We start from the raw sequence: 19,572 nt of genomic DNA on the forward strand, positions 1-19,572 counted from the left end.
GAGGAGATGACGGCAAATTAAACAGAACGAAGGCAGTCAGGGCGAGAAAGCAGAAGCAGGCTGGCTGGGCCTCTCAACGAATCCAAGGTGCAGAGGGGAGAGGATGGCAGAAAAGGTGATTCCAGGGCTGGGCCGGAACAACCGCGTGGGTAGTCAGGTAAAGGATGAGGAAGGAGAAGCGACAACGGATGAGAGACACAGGCCCACGCTAGTCGCTGACTGTGCTGCCATTCTCCCCGCACCCCTCCAGCCCCCCACGCTGCCTGCCCCTAGAGACAAAGACGGCCAAATCCATTCAGCCCTTCCTAGCTGTAGCACTGAGCCCATGGATTCAACCAACCGAGGATTGAAAATATTTGGGGGAAAAAATTGCATCTGTGCTGAACGTGTGTAGTTTTTTTTTTTCCTTCCCTAAACAATGCAGTAGAATAATGGCTTATGTAGGTAGCATTTACATTGTATGAAGTGTTACAAGTAATCTAGAGATGGCTTAAACCATATAGGAGGCTGGGTGTGGTGGCTCATGCCTGTAATTCCAACACTTCGGGAGGCTGAGGCAGGAGGACTGCTTCAGCCCAAGAGGACAAGACCAGCCTGAGCAACAAGGCGAGACCTCATCTCTGCTAAAAATAAAAATAAATAAATAAACAAACTATATGGGAGGATGTGTATAAGTTATATGCAAATACTATGCCATTTTATATCAGGGACTTGAGTATCCCTAGGTTTTGGTATCCAAGAGAGAGCCTGGAGCCAATGCCCCCTGCCAATACTCAGGGATGACTGTGCTTCCCATCACGCTTACAGTGGGCTGGCATGACCACATGATCTGGTTCTAGCCAATGAGACAGAGAGGTCTGCTAGAGACTCTTAAAAACTTTTGTAACAGCTTTGTTGAGATATAATTCACATAGCAGTTGGCCCATTAAAAGGTGCAATTCAATGGTTTTGAGGATATCACACAGTTGTGCAACAACCACCACAATGTACTATTGGAATACCTTCACCGCCTCAACCCCATACCCTTTAGCCATCGCCCCCACAAAGTCCCCCATTCCCCCAGTCCTAAGAAAGACTAATCCATTCTGTCCCTATAGTCTATTTTGGTCATTTCAAATAATTGAGATCATAAAACATGTGTGTGGAATTCAGAGCCTGGCTTCCTTCACTTGGCATTACATTTTAAAGGATCATCCACACCACAGCAGGGATGAGTAGTTCACTTGTGGTGTGGCTGCACAACCCTGTGAGCATTCTCATATACTTTAGATGGATAAATTGTAGGGCACATGAGTTAGCTCTCAAAAACTTCTTTTATTTTAGTAAGACTTTTGGTTTCTTGTAGGTAAAGCATGACAGCAGCTATGGGGAGAGAGGCACTGCATAGCGACAGTTGTTTCGGAAGTTTAAGATGCTTAAACAACCTCAAGGTCTACCAGCAAGTCAGATTCGTGTTGGATACCATGAGACCTGGGATTCTGTGCTACTTCCGCTGAACGAGGAACTGGCAGCCTAATCTTGATCCACACTTTCAAGGGCGAGGTGGAGAGGCCACCTTCCCAACACCTTAGGACTGGGCTGAACATTAAACGCGGGGGAAACAGCATGCACTGAATCCCCGGTTACACTGGCCGCCGCTCCCTGCCTGAAGAACACCTCTGGGTGGCACCATCCTTTCCTTTCCCTTGCTCCTCTTCCTCTGTTTCCACCTCCCACTCACCCCTTCCCCAGGCCAGTCAGAGCACTGCTAGAGTTAATTACAATATTATAAGACAAATTATAACAGCAGCACATCTTGGAAAAGAATCACATCCACATCTGACAGCCCTTTGGGGTGATTCTGCTGTTCCCTATTTCTCTCTCCGAGTCTTCTTAAGGTAACCTTGAGCAAAAGAACCACTAATGTCTGACCAAGGAGCTGGCGTCCAGGTCCCCCAGAAGGAAAACAGTGCCATCTTATGATATTTACTAAGCACTTCTTGGCAGCAGACATTGTTAGGCACTTCAGGTGTGTCATCTCCAATCCTTAAAACAATCCCACAAGGTAGACGCAAAAACCAAGACACAGATAGGGTTTTCGAGAAAACACCATCTACCCAGAGGCCTCCAGAAAGACACTGGACCACAGTAGAAGAGGTAAACCAAAAGACTTCAGATCCCAACAAGACCAAGCCCAGGAAATCATGTGCAACGCAAACCATCTATACTCTAGCGTGAGAACATCACACTCCCTGCCATCCTAACCTGGTAAAGTCATTCCAACAGCAGAAATGCTGTGAAATAAGGCACATCCTTAACACAGGTTCATTCACTGGCCCCCTCCCATCTCATGGGACCCCCCCCTTTCGTCACTCCTCAGTCTTTTCACAGTAGCATTAATATGACCTATTTATAGTATGCATTTTTTCCCCTTCTTTTCGTAAGTATTGATAACCGCACTTCACTCACAGTAGCAGAGCCTACATATGGTTGAACCTTACTCGCTCACCTGGGGCTTTTGATCCCAGTCCCTGAAACAGTTTACCTAACTAGTTTTTCCCCGTGTTCCCTTTTTAAGCTACGTGATGTGAAAGCCGCGAGTCTTTTTTATTTTCCACAGGAATTGGTGTCAGTAACTGTAAATTCATCCTGAAACGGCCAGCGCAAGGATGACCATCAGGCCGCGGGCCAGACCTGGTCCATAGGCCACGGTTTGCCAAACCCTGCTCAAAAGCCTGACCAAAGGCCACAGCAGGATCTTTAAAATTGCCAGTTAGAAGAAATATCCATTTGGTAGCATAGTAGAAGGTGGGTTTAAAGAGACAGAAGACATCATTCATTCAGCCGGCATTTAAGGACCCGTAAGGTACCAGGTGCTGCTCCAGATATGCGTGACAGTTGGTGTCTTTGAGGAGCTTAGAGGCTTGCTGGGTGGGCAAACAGACCAACACCTCCACAGCCCAGCATGCTGGAAGCTCTGACAGCGGCAGGCACAGGGCACGGGGAGCTCCCAGAGGGGGCACTGCAGTCATGGCAGGGATGAATTCCTGGACAATGTGACAGTAATGGAAACGGCATGTACGAAGGCAGCAGAATAGCAATGCTGTTGTATTTGGAGAACTGTCAACAATTTAGTACGGCCAAATACAGAGTGAATGTGAGAGTGGGAAAAGATGAGTCTGGAAATTACAAATATGTGCCATTCTAAACCTTTCACAAAGGAAGGAATCCCTCTGCCCTTTTAAGAGACTCCCATGCAGTTCACAGGACCAGGTTTGCATGCACAACCCATGAGGCTTCAGAGGATGACAGCTCCATTAATCTACTGCTGGAATGCCACAGAAGCTCTGTGCCCACACACATGGGAAGCCTCAACAAAGATGGCCCTGTACCCATGATCAGAAAAGCAACACAGTCACGGTTCCTAAGAAGATTCCACAAATCATCAGGGTAGTACATCATCTTGTAAAAAATGACCAAAGTCTTGGAGAACTCAGAGCCTTTCCATGTAAATACTTGCCCTAATAACGTATCTTGTAGGTTCAATCTTTTGCAAATACTGGAGGGTACACATGGAGCAGAAGGCCCCCGATGATGCTGTCTTCAACTGCACATCACCAGTCCAGCTTCACAAAGGACAAGAAAGCTAGAAAGACCCTCTTCAACCCTGGGGTCACGTTTTTCCATTCCTGGCTGCTCTTCTATTCCATACTTTATTTCAATGCAGCAAAATTTAGAAATGTTAGTTATCAAGTCTGTGAATAGCACCATGAGCTCTTCAGCAAAAAAGACCATCCAATAAATTATAGTATCCATCATTAAAAATAACAAACCGCCACCTAGCCCTGCACAACCCAGCTGTCCAAATGAGAAAATGGAGGCTGGGGAGAATGTAATTATTGATCGGAGGTTACAGTAATTAGAGGCTGAGATGAGTGGAAAGAACCTCTCAGACCTCCTGACTTTTGTCCTTTTCTCAGACGACTCCAATTAACCAAATATCATTATATAAAGGTCTTTCAAGAGACTGTTATTTGTTCAACAGTATCAAGTGTCCCAAGTTCTTCTCCTTTTAAACTAAGTGTCTTTAAATCACTAATTAATATGACTTTAAATAACCATAAGACACTATCAGCATTTCATGGATAAACAAATTTTCCTGTCACCTAAAAACATACAGCTTGGACCCCATCAATCACAGTGTGCGTCCCCTTCCCAGGACAAGGGGCACCTGACACCTCTAGAGGGTTATGCTGCCTTTTCATCAAAAATCAAACGCAATTTATATCTAATGGAAACACAGCCCATATGGAAGCATAGTGATTTCGTTCTCTGTTTTCTCACTGGGAACTAACAATCCACCAAAAGAAAGCAGACCTTAGAAGTACATCATGATCACAGCTCCTCCTCTCTTTTCCCATCAACCGCCTGATCTGAAATCTAGCTGAGTCTGGTTGCAGCTTTGTCAGTCATCCAAACCGAGATGATGAATCTCTCCTAACTCACTCTACAAATACCATGGATCAAAACTTCCTACCATGACTAATTCAAACTCAGATTTTAAACATATATTCTCCTCCAGTATTTCTGGTAGACCTTAAAAAGAGAAAAAGAAAAAAAAAGAAACTATCCTCAGGATTCCAGCATGGAGAAGATACACCGAAGAGAGATCACAGCACTGGGGGGGAATTAACTAAGGGCTCTGGCCATAAAAGCAATGGCCAGTCGTGACCATGTGAGGGAGACAAGCAGTCTAATGGGCGAGCCACATCCAACTTGAAGCCTCCGTCCTCACTTAGGGCTGGTGAAGACCACAGGCTGTGGTTAAACATGTCGTTTCAATAAGAGTTCACATTTACATATTTTACACACATATATTAAAAGAGCCTCCAATGTGACCTGTTATAAAATGTCTAATTACTCAAAAATATAGCATACAGATCACCCTTTTTGAAAGATCACATGAGGAAAAGGTACAACTATCACAATAGGCTTAGAAGTGAACAAAGCTTAAAAATATAAACAGGATAAGAAAAAACGGTGGGGAAGGCAGAGGTTAAAGCATCAATGAGAACCCTCGCTGTATTTTCCTGTAGAGGTTTTCTTTGCCACCTGGAGAAAAACGCTGACACTGAGTTCTGGACAGGAAGGGCAGGGGAGATAGGCAGGCACACACCCACCACCACTCCCAGGCACGGGGATGCTCATCAACAATACATGAATGCTATTAATAAAAAAAGAAACACAGCAACAGAGCAATTAACAGAGAGCCCTATGTGCTCGTCCACTCTCTGTTCTTCCCGGCGGCCATTTCATGGACACACGTGTAAACATCAACCTCCGAGCACGTGGGGCTGGGAAACACAATCTACTTCTCAGTGCCGTCATCAAAATAAGACAAGGCCTCACATGTCTGGAGTGGAGACAGTCGGCTCATCAGCCTGACACAGAAGAGTGGAATGGGTCACTCCAATTATTGATCCTGCATACACGCTCAGTCATCTCACCATGTCCCATGGAAACCGCAGGGTACCCAAAGGGGAAGATATGGCCCATGCCCTTGAGAAATACAAACTCCAACAGAAAAACACGATGCAGCATACGTATACACACACATACAGTGTACAAACACACATGTGTTCCTTGTAAAAAGAATGTGCTTTTTTTTTTTTTTTGAGCTGGAGTCTCACCCAGGCTGGGGTGCAGTGGCATGATCTCGGCTCACTGCAACCTCCACCTCCCGGGTTCAAGCGATTCTCCTGCCTCAGCCTCCCAAGTAGCTGGGATTACAGGCGTGCACCACCTCGCCCGGTTAATCTTTGTATTTTTAGTAGAGATGGGGTTTCACTATGTTGTCCAGGCTAGTGTCGAACTCCTGACCTCAGGTGATCCGCCCGTCTCACCCTCCCAAAGTGCTGGGATTACAGGAGTGAGCCACCATGCCCGGCCAAGAATGTGCTTTTGAAAAATGTCTGAGGACCCAAGTCAGAATCAACTTCCCCATAAGCAATCACGATGAAGGCAAGGGCTGTGACAACATCACTCACACCTCAGCAGCCATGCACTTGGCATCTAGCCTTTGCCAGGTCCAGCTCCAGGTAGACAGCAGGCAGAATGAGGTTTTCTCCCATGGAGGGAGACAAGCATGGACCAACTAAATACGTAACTGATGACCGACAAGTGCAGGAAGAAAGAGAGCAGAGGCCCAGAGTCCCTGGTCTAGCTAGGGACTTGTGAAGGCTTTCAAGAGGAGGCCAGGCCCAAGAGGAGTCACATGGTGAAGGGGCAGGGTGTGGGGACAGGGGAGGTGCACCGGCCCTGCTGTGGGAAGGAAGGTGTGTGCTGAAGAAGTTCAAGATGCAGCAGACACAGCAGGCGAAGGAGTGACACTGACGGCTCAGGCGAAGGGCTCAGGGCCGTGTCACCACAACTCACCAACCGTGGGGACTGTGCTTACTGAGGTGAGGTATGTGGGGACACTGCCACCAGGAGAGAACAGAGTCCTGGCTACAGGGGCAGAGGGACATGCCATGGGTCAGGGATGGCACCCGAGATTCTAAGCCCCTACACAGAGTCCAGGCACTACCTCTTTAGATTTGCTGGATCACGGGGAGGCTCAAGAAATTCCAGGGGAGTAGGGGAGGTGGGCAGCACTCCCAGGGGCTGGGGAGAGCAAACATTCACTCGAGCAGGTAACACCAGACCACTGCCCAAGCCGCCACTGAGCCACAGTCACCCCAGCAGGAGACACGGGTGGCTCTGGGAGCTCTGCCTCGGCCTGCTGCTCCCTCCCGTCACCGAAACGCCGGAGTGCAAATGGGCCATGGAGCCAGCTTCCACGGTGGCCCTGCTGGCCACCTGCTCACTCTGCAGGTACAATCAAGAAAAGCACAGTTCAAATGCAGCCCCAAAAGCAACAGCGACCCAATACACGCAGAAAAGGAGCTGCACGGCTGTCGCAGGGGCCCCGGTCAGAGCAGAGATTCACTTGGGTCACCAGAAGTCCTCAACAGAAAACAACAGCTACTCCACACGAGGATGCCAACGGCCACAATAAGTGGTGTGTGCCTTCAGAACCTTGGCAACAAAGAACCACAGGGGTTCACGAAAGGAGAATTCCTTTCTCTTAGAGATGGCCGTGGAAATCACTGTAGGGAAATCAATGTTTCCTTTAAAGAATGCTAGTGTTTCAACAGGTGCAGTGAGAAGATGGGCTTTATGAGGACTGCTTAATGTATACTAGGTTTCTTTCTTTCTTTTTTTGAGACAGAATTTCACTCTTATCGCCCAGGCTGGAGTGCAATGGCGCAACATTGGCTCTCTGCAAGCGCCACTCCTGGGTTCAAGTTATTCTCCTGCCTCAGCCTCCTTAGTAGCTGGGATTACAGGGGCCTGCCACCATGCCTGGCTAATTTTTTGTATTTTTAGTAGACACGGGGTTTCACCATGTTGGCCAGGCTGGTCTCGATCTCCTGACCTCAGGTGATCCGCCCACCTGGGCCTCCCAAAGAGATCGGATTACAGGAATGAGCTACCACATCCGGCCAGAATTAGTGCATTTAAACCTCACAACCACCCTCAGAGATGCACACCCCACGTTACCCTGGAGCCAGAGCCTGCTCAAAGACAGAGAACAGCCAGGGGAAAGCAGTGGGTGGAGGGCTGGAGAGAAAGATGTGCTGCTTTTAGAAATGTGAAAACAGAGAAGCACGAAATTTGGGAGGTGCCAGGACATGAGACTGAGGGAGTGGGGTCGCCACCTGGACAGCAGCAGTGACGGCACAGCACTGCAGGGGGCAGTAATGAGTCGCCCAGACGGCCTGCAGGGAGGAGAGGCCCGTTCCCCAGGGGAGAGTGCTGCCTCCCCAGAAGTTGTCCTTGACGGGCAAGAGCCCTTCATCAAGACCCTACCCTTTCCTGGGAGCAGTGAGCACCCAGGGCCTGGCACGGGGACAGGAAGCCCCGGCCCTCCCATCGCCAGAGATCTCTCCGACGGCTTCCCAGCTGCACAGGCCCTGCTGGGTCAGCAGAAGCCTTGTCTCCTTGCTGAAGAGAACCACATCACCCAGGGTAGACTGCATTCAACTGCTGGTCAGTGAGGGAGGAGAATGGCCCGGCCCCCTCAGAACAACATGGGACACGTCTGCAGGCCACGGCAGTGCAGGGCTCCCCGTGCAGCTGAGGCCTGTGTCCATATAGCACTGAGGCCCAGCTTCTCCCACTGTCCAGTCTCGCCTCCATCTCTTCCCTTCTACGGGGCTGATCCCATGAGTACGTCCCAATACACTCTGCACACATCAGTCTCCCCAGCAGACAGCACTTCCCCAAGAACCCAGCTGGCACCACACACTGGGCCAGGGCCAGGGGTACAAGGAGGAAGGCAGGTTTGGGGCAGCTGAGCCCCAAGCGCGTAGGGAAACAGGTCATGACTAAAACTCAAAAAGCAGATAGCACCCAGGAGCAGTGTAAGAAGAGAAGATGAAGGCCAAGAAAGGAGCCCGGGAGAAAGGCAACCTTGAAACAGGGGCAGAAACACCGCGTGGCCCCATGAGAGCCAACACATGCAAACCTCATCTTTGGTTCTGGAAGGGGGGATGGAGTTACCCAGTGACTCGAAGGGGCACGAGGGGCCCTGGGTTCTGTTCCTGCCCGTCTCTGATCTGGGTGTTGATTATAGCGGTGGCCACTTGGTGAGAATTTACTGAGCCACATTCCTATGAGTCGTGCACTCCTCTATGTAAATGTTATGCTTTGACATTTATATTTTTAAAAAGGCAGGCTAAGGAAATGGGAGGCAACACAGGAGGCTGAAAAGAAGCCTGAGAGGTGGAGGGAAAAGCCATGGAGTGTGGCGGCCGAGGAGCAGGAGGAGATGGCGTGAAGGCGGGAGGAGGTGGCACAGGTGTCCCAGAGAAGTGAGTGTGGAAGGAGGGAGCCAAGGCATGGGGCAGGGACCTTGTCACTGACGAAGAGCTGGGCAGCATCTTCCACCCACTGAAACCCAAGCCCAGGGTTTACATGAACCAGCATCTAAAGTGCTCTCATTCACAGTTCCTTGAAAAAAAACATTGTGGTTTGAGCTCACTCACCCTGATCCGACAAGAAGTCCAGCATGGTCTGTAGAAGGAAGGACAGGTGTCTGACAGAGAGGGCAGGGTTCCCCATCCTTCGGGAGGCGTAGACCAATTCATGGAGCAAACGCATCTGGACCGCAGCCCAGCCTCTGTGCGTGCCTGCGATGGAAGTTACAAAACATCACAAAAGTGCTTGGAGAGGGTACAGGAAATACGGTTAATCTAAGTTGTAAAACTTGGCAATTTGAAGACAGATGCCTCAACCACCAAACTCCAAGAGCAACAAAAAATATTTCCTCTGCTTTTAATGACCCTGGAAAAGTACTTTAAAGTTGGCATGGTTTTCATACAGCAAAAACAGGCATTACACTATAGCTTCTCTCTCTGCAAAGACATGATTTGATTTCAAAAATAGCCTGCTTCGAAATAATAAGCTTAGAACAAAAGATGGATTTCATATATCTGAGCTAGAGACATACTTTTTTTCCAAGAAAATACTCATATTTGAAGGGCCTTCATTATCAACAACCAACAACATTAAATCAAAAATATAATATTTCTCTAAAATATAAGAAAAATGAAGAAAAGTAGATAGCTAAATTAGAAAAAAAAAAAGTTAAATTCTACAGCTGCTCACTCCAAAACAGTTTAGCATCTTTGAATTAAAGACGGAGAAATCTGGATGCACAGACAGTTGAAAAGTATCTCTTTTTTTAAGAGATGAGGTCTTTCTCTGTCATCCAGGCTGGAGTGTGGTGGTGCAATCACAGCTTACTGCAGTCTGGACCTCCAGGGCTCAAGCAATCAATCCTCCCATTTCAGCCTCCTGCGTAGCTGGGACTACAGTTACACACCGCCATGCCCAACTACTTTTTTTTTTCCAGTAGAGACAGGGTCTCCCCATGTTGCCCAGGCTGGTCTTGAACTCCTGACCTAGAACCATCCTCCTACCTTGGCCTCCCAAAGTGCTGGGATTACAGGTATGAGCCACTGCTCCCAGCCAATCTGTGTTAACACACACACCCTGCCAATGGCTCTGATAACCAACCACACAGACTGGCTAATCACTGCTCCAGCTGATCCAAAACTTAGACCATGAAAAAACGCATAAATGCACATTCAAACTCTGACAAAACTGCCACGCACTGAAAGTCCGTAATAGCTCACGACAGTCGGTTGGTTAACAAGTATTTACTGAGAACACAATACTGTGCAGGGCAGGTTCTCGTGCCATTGACACTCTTGTGGGAAGAGTCAGGCCTCAGCCCTGGGAAACAGCATGCTGGTGGATGCTGGGACGAACACAAACAGTAATAGTGAGGGCTGATGGGGCTGAGAGATGCTGCGTCAGCCAGGGCAGGTGGGCAAGGAGGTGACATCTGGGGTGAACCCTCGATGAGAAGGGGGCCACGCCAAACTGTAAAACGGAGACAGTAGTCGGAGTACAAGTTAAAGTTATAAGGCTTCAGTGCAATAACCCATTTAAAGCACTTCAGCAGTTTATTTATCATAAGTTCTCAATAAATGCTAGTTGCTATTAATATTATTATTCAATGAATATAATGTGGTTAACACACAGGTCAACCTTTGACTCTAGCTGTGACATGATTAATGATCCAACCTGTTCCACTGTTTCACTAAGAATGAGTCCTCCATTTTTTTAAATCCCTATTGAGATTATTTATTAAGTAAAATTACCTGCTTGTGTGTCAAAATCCCCCATTCAGGTATGACTTCCTGTACCTGAAGACTGTGCGTTACTTACTATTGCATCCCCAGGACAGGGCCTGACGTGAGACTGGGCGCTCGGCTGAGGCTGACTGGCGAGCAAACAGAACAAGAAGGGATGCCTCCTCCCTAACGCAAATAGCAGGGGCCCTTCCTTCTATCCTAACCTTTCTCTGTTTGCCCATTGATATTTGAAGACGTTGCTCCAAGGGTTCCACCGCTCACAGCCCTTCCTGAGCTCTTCCCTCAGCACTCTGCCCTGCACAGCTGACCAGTCCCTCTTCTGTATTTCCGCTGTATTTTGCACAAATTTCAGCCCACAGGAGTTATCTGGCAGGTACCATAAGGCACCTGTAATCTCATGTCTTTGTTTCTCTCATCAATCCTTAATTTCCTTGGGAGGCAGGTTTATGTCTTATCCATTCAAGTGTCCTTAATGCCTGGCAGGGTGCCTGATAACAAAGTTGGTACTTAACACACACGTGGATCAAGACGTAAGGCTGGTGAAAGGAAACCCTCCCATGTTGCGGACGTGCATACAGCTATGAAGGAGTACAGTGATGTGGTTTCTAGGATCTGCTTTAAATACTTCAACAAAAAAACCAATAAAGTAAAAATAAAGCCAATGTGGTCAAATTTTGATAATGATTTAATCTGGGCAATGGACACAATATTCTATTCTATCCTCTCTAATTTGTATATATTTAAAGTATTTCTCCATAACTTCTCATTGAAATCCTTGGAGCTGACCATACACACACTTAAAAAAAAATAAAAATAAAAATAAAAAAAACACTACTTTATATCTTAGTAGTTTATCTTCCCGACATCTTTTGGAATATAAAATGGTAGTACTTCTCATACAACTGCAGGAAAGGAGAGAAAGACGAGTCCCTGCAATATTCCACATTGTCAAAAGAAGCCAAGACCAAATGCCAAAATGAAGAAGAGATTTTTTTAAAGATTATGAAGCTGAAATCAATGTCATGACTAACCTAGCCATGAATTCAGAAAGACCCAATTTAACTAATCTCAACACTACCATATCCAGAAGGTTTTCTCACATAAGAATTGGGCAAATATCACTTTGCTGATTCTTTTAAAAATAGATAATGATCCAGTTCCTACCACGGGCGATTATGAGTAAGACCGAGTATACATTTTCTTAACAGTAAATAGTGTACAAGTCATAATTTCTATGTGGCTCAAAGTGCTCTCCCTATAAAATGTGAATTATTTTTCTGAAGGCAGATTTGCAGCATATGACCCAGTGATAAAATTTTCAATACTCTTGTAATCAAAAATTTCACCAATTTGGAGGTTTATTTTGTATATGAACTATTGCCTTTTAGCAAATCCATCTGCCTTAGCAGTCTCTTTCTTTCATAAGAGTTCCTGGGCAAAATTTAATCCCTCGTCCAGGAAAAGGCATGATCAAAAATCTTCATATACAGCAACACAAATAAGATTTAAATGATACTAAGCGGCCCCTTAAGCCGGCAAGTACACACAGCACACATCAGTGTTCCTTCCTCGACCGTCTATAACCAGCTAGTGCAAATGTTCATTTCAAGAAAAAGAATACATTTTGGGACCTGAGAATACAGACAATTTGCCTTTTATTTACAGGTACAGGGTGTTAGTAGACTTCCATTAAATTCTCTGGGAGATGTTTAAAGCAGTCCAGAGCCACAGTGGAGATGGGGTTTAAAGTGACTTTTGTGTTTTGTTAAACATACAGCCAGCTGACATTTATCATTTTTAATCTCAGCCAGTCACCTTCTTTCTCTAGCCTCTTTCACAAAATAATGGAAAATGTCTCCTCCTGACACAAACGTCTTTTTTTTTTTTTGAAACGGAGTTTCACTCTTGTTGCCCAGGCTGGAGTGCAATGCCACGATCTTGGTTCACTGCAACTTATGCCTCCCAGGTTCAAGCAATTCTCCTGCCTCAGCCTCCCGAGTAGCTGGGATTACAGGCACGTACCACCATGCCTGGCTAATTTTTGAATTTTTAGTAGAGACGGGGTTTCACCATATTGGCCAGGCTGGTCTCGAACTCCTGACCTCAGGTGACCCACCTGCCTCAGCCTCCCAAAGTGCTGGGATTACAGGCGTCAGCCACTGCACCCGGCCCCAAACATTTTTCAAATGTATTTACAAATCATGGGAAGTGTTATAAGGAAGAACAACAGAATTCAAGGAAAAGAGAAAACGGCATTCGATGAAAGAGAAAAATAAAACAGTTCCACTTAAGGCTGAAAGGACCACTGAGGACCTCTCCGAAGAAATGGCATCCAGCTGTGACCTGAGGATGACCGGGAGTGAGGCAGGAAGGACAGGGAAGAGTGTCCCCGAAGGAGGCAAGAGGCATCAGAAGACCTCAGACTGATGCAGTCTTAAATGTTACAGATAACTGGCCCCGGGACAGGAAAAAAAGAAAATGAAGACCACTCCTAAGATAACTTGCATAGAGCCCAGGAGGCTTGCTTTTACCCTGAAGCCAGCCTGGAGTTATATTCAAAGGATGCAAAAAAAAAAAAAAAAAAAAGGAACCGAAAAGCAATTTAAATCTTGCCTGAAGTCTCTCAAAAGCACAGCAAATGGGAATTCCATTCACAAGTGCACATAGAAATCTATTAAAATACACTTTCTTATCACTCTACAAAGCAATAGTGTGATTGCTTTAAAAACTTTCTTCTTCCTAAACACTACTCCTTCCCAATTAAATTTCTCCAGAATCCAGCCTAAATGAGCTTAGACACCCAACTCTCCCGTGCTAAGACTCTGAGGTCTAATCTCTCCTCCTCCACCAGTAACTCTTAGCATTTTTTTTTTCGAGACGGAGTCTCGCTGTCACCCAGGCTCGAGTGCAGTGGTGCATTCTCGGCTCACTGCAACCCTTCTACCTCCCAGGTTCAAGTGATTCTCCTGCCTCAACCTCCTGAGTAGCTAGGATTACAGGCATGCGCCACTACACCTGGCTAATTTGTATTTTTTTAGTACAGACGGGTTGGCCAGGCTGGTCTCGAACTCCTGACCTCAAGTGATCCACCCATCTTGACCTCCCAAAGTGCTGGGATTACAGGCATGAGCCACCATACCTGGCCACTCTTAGCCTTTTAAAATGTAAATCCTACAAGTTTTAGGGCTTGTCCAGTTATTTTGTCCAAAATTAACTGTGTGACTAGGGCAGACCCCTCCCTGGCCCTCATCTGCAACCAAAGGCCAGGGAGGGCCTGCCCTAGCAACACACACTCTTTCTGGGGGAGCCAGGGAGGGACAGGCCTTGCAAACCCCATTCACGCTGGCCTCAGGGGATGCTATGGGAAGCATACTAGACCTGACCAAAGATCTCATTTGACAAACAGCCACTAACATTTGCTGAGCACTGTCCAAAGCACCTCACAAGGACTAACCAATTCAATCCTTACAACCTCTACCAGTAAACGAGTGTAAACTAGTGGCCCACTTACAGATGAGAAAGTGGGCACACAGGACTCAGGGACACGGCCAGCATCCCACAGCTGGTCAGTAATGGCGTCCTGTGCTCCCACCAGCTGTGCAACCTCAGGAGTAACACTGTGCCCTGCCTGCCCTGGTCCCTCACATGGCACGTGGAACGCGTGGTCTCCACTCACCAGGCTGTAAGAAATGAGGTTACGCATGTGAAGCCATTTACCATGAGGCCACAGCTAGCCTTGGCGTGGATTAGAAAGAGATGCCCCGTAGGCAAACACAGCCTGCAGGCACCAGGCTTAGCAAGGCATGCCCAGAAGGTCCCTACAGGAGACAACAGCGCCCCTTCATCTGAATGCACCCAGCTCTGAGCTGCAGATGGCTGGCAAGCAGGGCCCAGCACCCCGCACAGGCTGCAACTGCACGGCGACCCTGCCCAGCACAGCAGCTGCTCCAGGTATGTCACCTAAAATACCAAGAAACAGAGAAGAAAATGGGAACAATCACCTTTTGTGAACAATCAATTTTTTGTAACATCTAATAAGGACAATTTATTTCAACTTTTACTTTAAGTTCAGGGCTACAAGTGAAGGTTACACTGGTAAACGTGTTTCATAGGGGTTTATTGTACAGATTAGTTTGTGACCCAGGTATTAAGCCTAGTACCCATTAGTTATTTTTCCTGATCCTCTCCCTCCTTCTACCCTCCACCCTCCAAAAGGCCCCAGTGTATGTTATTCCCCTCTATGTGGCCATGTGTTCTCATAATTTAGCTCCCACTTATAAGTGAGAACATGTGGTATTTGGTTTTCTGTTCCTGCAGTAGTTTGGTATGAATAATCACCTCCAGCTCCATCCATATCCCTGTAAAGAACATGATCTCATTTTTTATGGCTGCATAATATTCCACAGTGTATATGTAGCACATTTTCTTTATCCAGTCTATCACTGATGGGCATTGAGGTTGATTCCATATCTTTGCCATTGTGAATAATCCTGCAATGAACACACCTGTCCATGTGTCTTTATAATAGAATGATTTAAAGAAATATAAATCATTCTATTATAAAATTTTTTAATAAATAAAAATATCCCTAATCTCGAGGCTTACTATAAAACTATAGTACTCAAGATAGTGTGGTACTGGTGAAAGAACAAATAGGTTAATGGAGCAAAAGAGACAGCCCAGAAATAGAATCTCCTAAGTATAGTCAACTGGTCTTTGACAAAGCAGCAAAGGCAATCAATGGAGCAGAGACAGTCTTTTCAATAAATGGTGCTGAAATAACTGGACATCCACAAGCAAAAAAATAACTCTAGACACAGACCTCACACTCTTCACAAAAATTAACTCAAAACAGATCATAAACCCAAATGCAGGATGAGAAAATACAAACCTCCCAGAAGTTAACACAAGAGAAAATCTAGGTGACCTTAGGTATACTAATGTTATATCTTTAGATAAAACACCCAAGGTATAACCCATCAAAGAAAGAATTGATAAGCTAGACTTCGTTAAAATTTAAAACTTCTGCTCTGCAAAAGACATATCAAGAGAATGAGAAAACAAGACACAGACTGGGAAGAAATATTTGCAAAAGACACAACTGATAAAGGACTGTCATCCAAATCATAGAAAAAACTCTTAAAGTCAACAGCAATGAAACAAACAACCTAATTAAAAAGGGGGCAAAAGATCTGAACAGACATTTCACCAAAGAAGGTATCCAGATGGCAAATAAGCATAAGAAAAATGCTCAACATCATATGTCATCAGGAAATTGCAAAGTAAAGCAACGAGATACCACTACACACCTATTAGAATGGCCAAAATCTAACAGTGACAACCCCAAATGCTGGCAAGGATGTGGAGCAGCAGGAACTCTCATTCATTGCTGAAGGGGATGCAAAATGGTTCAGCCACTGTGGAAGACAGTTTGGCGGGTTCTTACAAAAGTAAACATATTTTTACCATATCATCCAGGAACCATGCCCCTTGATATTTACTCAAATGAGCTGAAAACTTATATCCACACAAAAACTTGCACATGAATGTTTATGGCTGCTTTACAATTGCCAAAACTTGCAGGCAACCAAGTTGTCAACCAAGATTCATTAGGTGAATGTATAAATAACTGTGACATATTCTGATAGTAGAATATTATTCAGCACTATAAAGTAATGAGCTATCAAGCTGAGAAAAGATATGAAGGAAACTTAAATGTATATTACTAAGAGAAAGAAGCCAATTTGAAAAGGCTACATATTGTATGATTCCAACTATATGACACTCTGGAAAGGCAAAACTATGGAGACAGTAAAAGGGTCAGTGGTTGCCAGAAGGTAATAAATAGGGAGGGAGGGATGAGGAGACAGAGCACAAAGGATCTTCACGGCAGGGAAACTTCTCTGTATGATATCATAATGGTGGATACTCATCACTACACATTTGTCAAAACCCACAGAATGTACACCACCAAGAGTGAACCCTAATGTAAACTACGAACTTTGGGTGATGATGATGTGTCAACATAGGTTCATCAATTGCAACAAATGTACCACCCTGGTATGGGGTGTTAACAGTGGGGAAGTCTGTGCGTCTGCAAGGGCAGGAGGTAAGTGGGTCATCAGCCTCAATTCACACATCCTCATGGTCCATCTAAAGGTGTCAATCATGAAATAAGGGGTGGGGAGACAGGTTCCATCCTATCCCTCCAGGGAACACCGAGGAAAAAGAAATTAGAGAAAGGAAGGGCAGGTGAAGAAAAACTATCATAAACCTCGTCTCAGAGCACACCTTATCCATCTTTGTGTATGACCTCTCCAGGTCTCCTCTATTCTGCACCCCGTCATGGTTTTTGGGGTTTCTTTAAACGTGGGACTTGGCATCTGGCTGTGCTGGCTGTGCTGATGACTGGACTCATACTGTTGGTGGAGTTCATTTTGAAGCTGGATCTTATCCCTTGCTTTTGTCTTAGCCGTTGTGATGATACTGAGTGCAAGAGGTCAAGAGCAGAGTTCAGGACCCTCTCCAGCAGGCCTTCTATTCCGCAGGGACGTCTTGGTTCTTGCTTTGTGCTGGACACCATTCACATGTTGAGGGTGAACACACAAAGTGCCAAACTCCCTGCCAGATCTCAGCCATCTCACCTGAGTGGACAGCATGACAGGCTTTTATCACTTGCCCAGAGTGGTCATCAGCGCTCCGCCTGCCCCTGTGGCTCCAGAGAGGCAGGATATCTTAGGCTCTAAAGACAAAAACCCATAAAAACTGGGGATTTATATGGGGAACTTGATGGGACTTGGGGGATTTTCAACCCTGAACACATCTGCTTCACGCAGGGCCTTAGCTCTTCCTGGCATAGCTTCTGGCCAGACCACAGCAGTCCAGAGCAGAAGTGCCCTCCCCAGACTGCAAAAGCACCCCCCAGGTCTAGTTCTCTTCCCTGAAGAGAAATAAGAGGCTAAAGTGCTGCGTACACTCCATCCCAGCCTCCCTTCACTCCCCTTCACTGCCCGCCTGACTCTCCTCCTGCTATATTACTCACTCAGTCTGCGTTTTCTCTTCCAAACCCAGTGCCCTCCTTTTAAATGAGGCAGGAGGATCGCTTCAGCCCAAGAGTTTGAGGCCAGCCTGGGCAACACAGCGAGACCTCATCTCTAAAAAATAAAAATAAATAAATGATTTCAAATATCACAGTGTTCTCAGCCAGGGATTTCGCAAAGTATAGCTGCCATGCCAAATCTGGCCACCATGTACTAATGTAAACACAGTTCCATGGTGTGCGTGCCGTCCATGGCTGCTTTCACACCACAACAGCAGGGTCCAGTCATTTCCGCACAGACCGTGTGGCTCATAAAGCCTAAAATATTTACTATCTGGCCCTTTACAGAGAACATTTGCTGACCCCTGCTCGAAGCTAACCAGAATGCATCCTGAGAATCGGATTTGAGGTTCTATCAAATGTAAGTGTTGCCTGGGAAGATGGTTGAACAGTAAGAAGTCTGGGGAGTGTGACTTAGGAGTGACTGTCACAGCAACCACAGACACGTAAGTTAGAAGCAGGCTCTGGAAGGACCTGAGAGCTCTGTGCAAACACCGGGAAGCTGTCACATGTGAGAGGCACCTGTTTATTTCCACTGTAGAGGGCAGAAACTGTCTCCTTTGCCATCGCATCACTCACCCAACACACTGCATGGCATGGGGGCAGGAGTATAACGAACTACCTGTTGAATCAATGTACAAAAAAGTCCAGTAGATGTCTTCAGATATTCTAGCAGGTGAAAGTAAGGAGAAACATAATGTTTAATTCAACGTTGGGGAGAGCCCTAACTATCAGAATTATCCAAAAGCAGAACTTTTGGATTCATCATAAAGCCATGAGCACCTTCAGTCAGCAGAGGCCAGTGAAATGGATGGACATGACCACATAAAAAAGATACTGAAGAGGCCGGGCATGGTGGCTCATGCCTGTAATCCCAGCACTTTGGGAGGCCAAAGTGGGCGGATCACCTGAGGTCAGGAGTTTGAGACCAGCCTGGCCAACATGGTGAAACCCCATCTCTACTAAAAATACAAAAATTAGCTGGGCGTGGTAGCACGTGCCTGTAATCCCAGCTTCTCAGGAGGCTGAGGCAGGAGAATCACTTGAACCCAGGAGTTGGAGGCTGCAGTGAGCCAAGATCATGCCATTGCACTCCAGCCTGGGCAACAAGAGTGAAACTCTGTCTCAGGAAAAAAAATAAAAATAAAAAGGATGCCGAAGAACCCATTTTTGCCCTGGTGGGAAATTAACCTAGATGACATCACAGTTCTTTCCTGTCTAGAAGCCTATACCTTCACTAGCTCTAGGCTTGAACTAAAGAAAAAGTGTATGTTTCCTATCTAAAAGTAACCCCTCAAAAATGTTTTTTTTTTTGTTTTTTTGGGTTTTTTTTAGATAAGGTCTTTCTCTGTCGCCCAGGCTGGAGTGCAGTAGCACGATCCCAGCTCACTGCAACCTCCACCTCCCAGGTTCAAGTAATTCTCTTGCCTCAGCCTCCTGAGTAGCTGGGACTACAAGCGCACGCCACCATGCCCAGCTAATTTTTGTTTTTTGGTAGAGACAGTGTTTCACCATGTTGGCCAGGCTGGTCATGAACTCCTGACCTCAAGTGATCCGCCCACCCTGGTCTCCCAAAGTGCTGGGGATTACAGGAGTGAGCCACCGTGCCTGGCCCCCAAAAATGTTTTTTCTCCTTCTAATCAGACTTTGTCTAATACTGGGCATTATCCTTGTACATATTTGTTATTAGATTGATAGCTTTATTTTTAATACATATTACCCTGCATT

The 19,572-nt window shown here is 46.1% G+C and overlaps 1 protein-coding gene across 17 annotated transcripts in view, besides 3 other annotated features; it reads right to left on the reverse strand.

Annotated features, from left to right (window-relative positions):
* Window positions 1–19,572, reverse strand: part of TRAPPC9 (trafficking protein particle complex subunit 9) — a 730,855-nt gene that overhangs the window by 623,257 nt on the left and 88,026 nt on the right. For 15 of the 17 annotated variants that reach the window (NR_164662.1, XM_011517326.3, NM_031466.8 and 12 more), the window contains one exon: window positions 9,069–9,212. The exons of 1 other annotated variant lie outside the window; for it this stretch is intronic. Coding sequence is in view for 15 of the 16 variants with exons in the window: in XM_011517326.3 (XP_011515628.1) it covers window positions 9,069–9,212 (144 nt within the window). In the remaining variant the exon portion in view is untranslated. Of the gene's footprint in view, window positions 1–9,068; window positions 9,213–17,036; window positions 17,393–19,572 lie in introns of those variants that run through there. One more of the 17 variants, XM_017013894.3, reaches the window with a different exon arrangement.
* Window positions 7,801–7,860: a silencer, noted in NCBI's record as "silent region_19574". NCBI's record gives its function as "represses an Ori minimal core promoter by ATAC-STARR-seq in GM12878 lymphoblastoid cells {active_cell/tissue: GM12878}" and the evidence as "EXISTENCE:reporter gene assay evidence [ECO:0000049][PMID:35858748]".
* Window positions 14,016–14,516: an enhancer, noted in NCBI's record as "H3K4me1 hESC enhancer chr8:141375096-141375596 (GRCh37/hg19 assembly coordinates)". NCBI's record gives its function as "activates a minimal SCP1, AML or CMV promoter by ChIP-STARR-seq in naive H9 embryonic stem cells {active_cell/tissue: H9 hESC(naive)}" and the evidence as "EXISTENCE:reporter gene assay evidence [ECO:0000049][PMID:30033119]".
* Window positions 14,517–15,017: an enhancer, noted in NCBI's record as "H3K4me1 hESC enhancer chr8:141375597-141376097 (GRCh37/hg19 assembly coordinates)". NCBI's record gives its function as "activates a minimal SCP1, AML or CMV promoter by ChIP-STARR-seq in naive H9 embryonic stem cells {active_cell/tissue: H9 hESC(naive)}" and the evidence as "EXISTENCE:reporter gene assay evidence [ECO:0000049][PMID:30033119]".

Source organism: Homo sapiens, chromosome 8 (genome assembly GCF_000001405.40).
Source record: "Homo sapiens chromosome 8, GRCh38.p14 Primary Assembly".
In the NCBI taxonomy this organism is placed as follows: domain Eukaryota; kingdom Metazoa; phylum Chordata; class Mammalia; order Primates; family Hominidae; genus Homo; species Homo sapiens.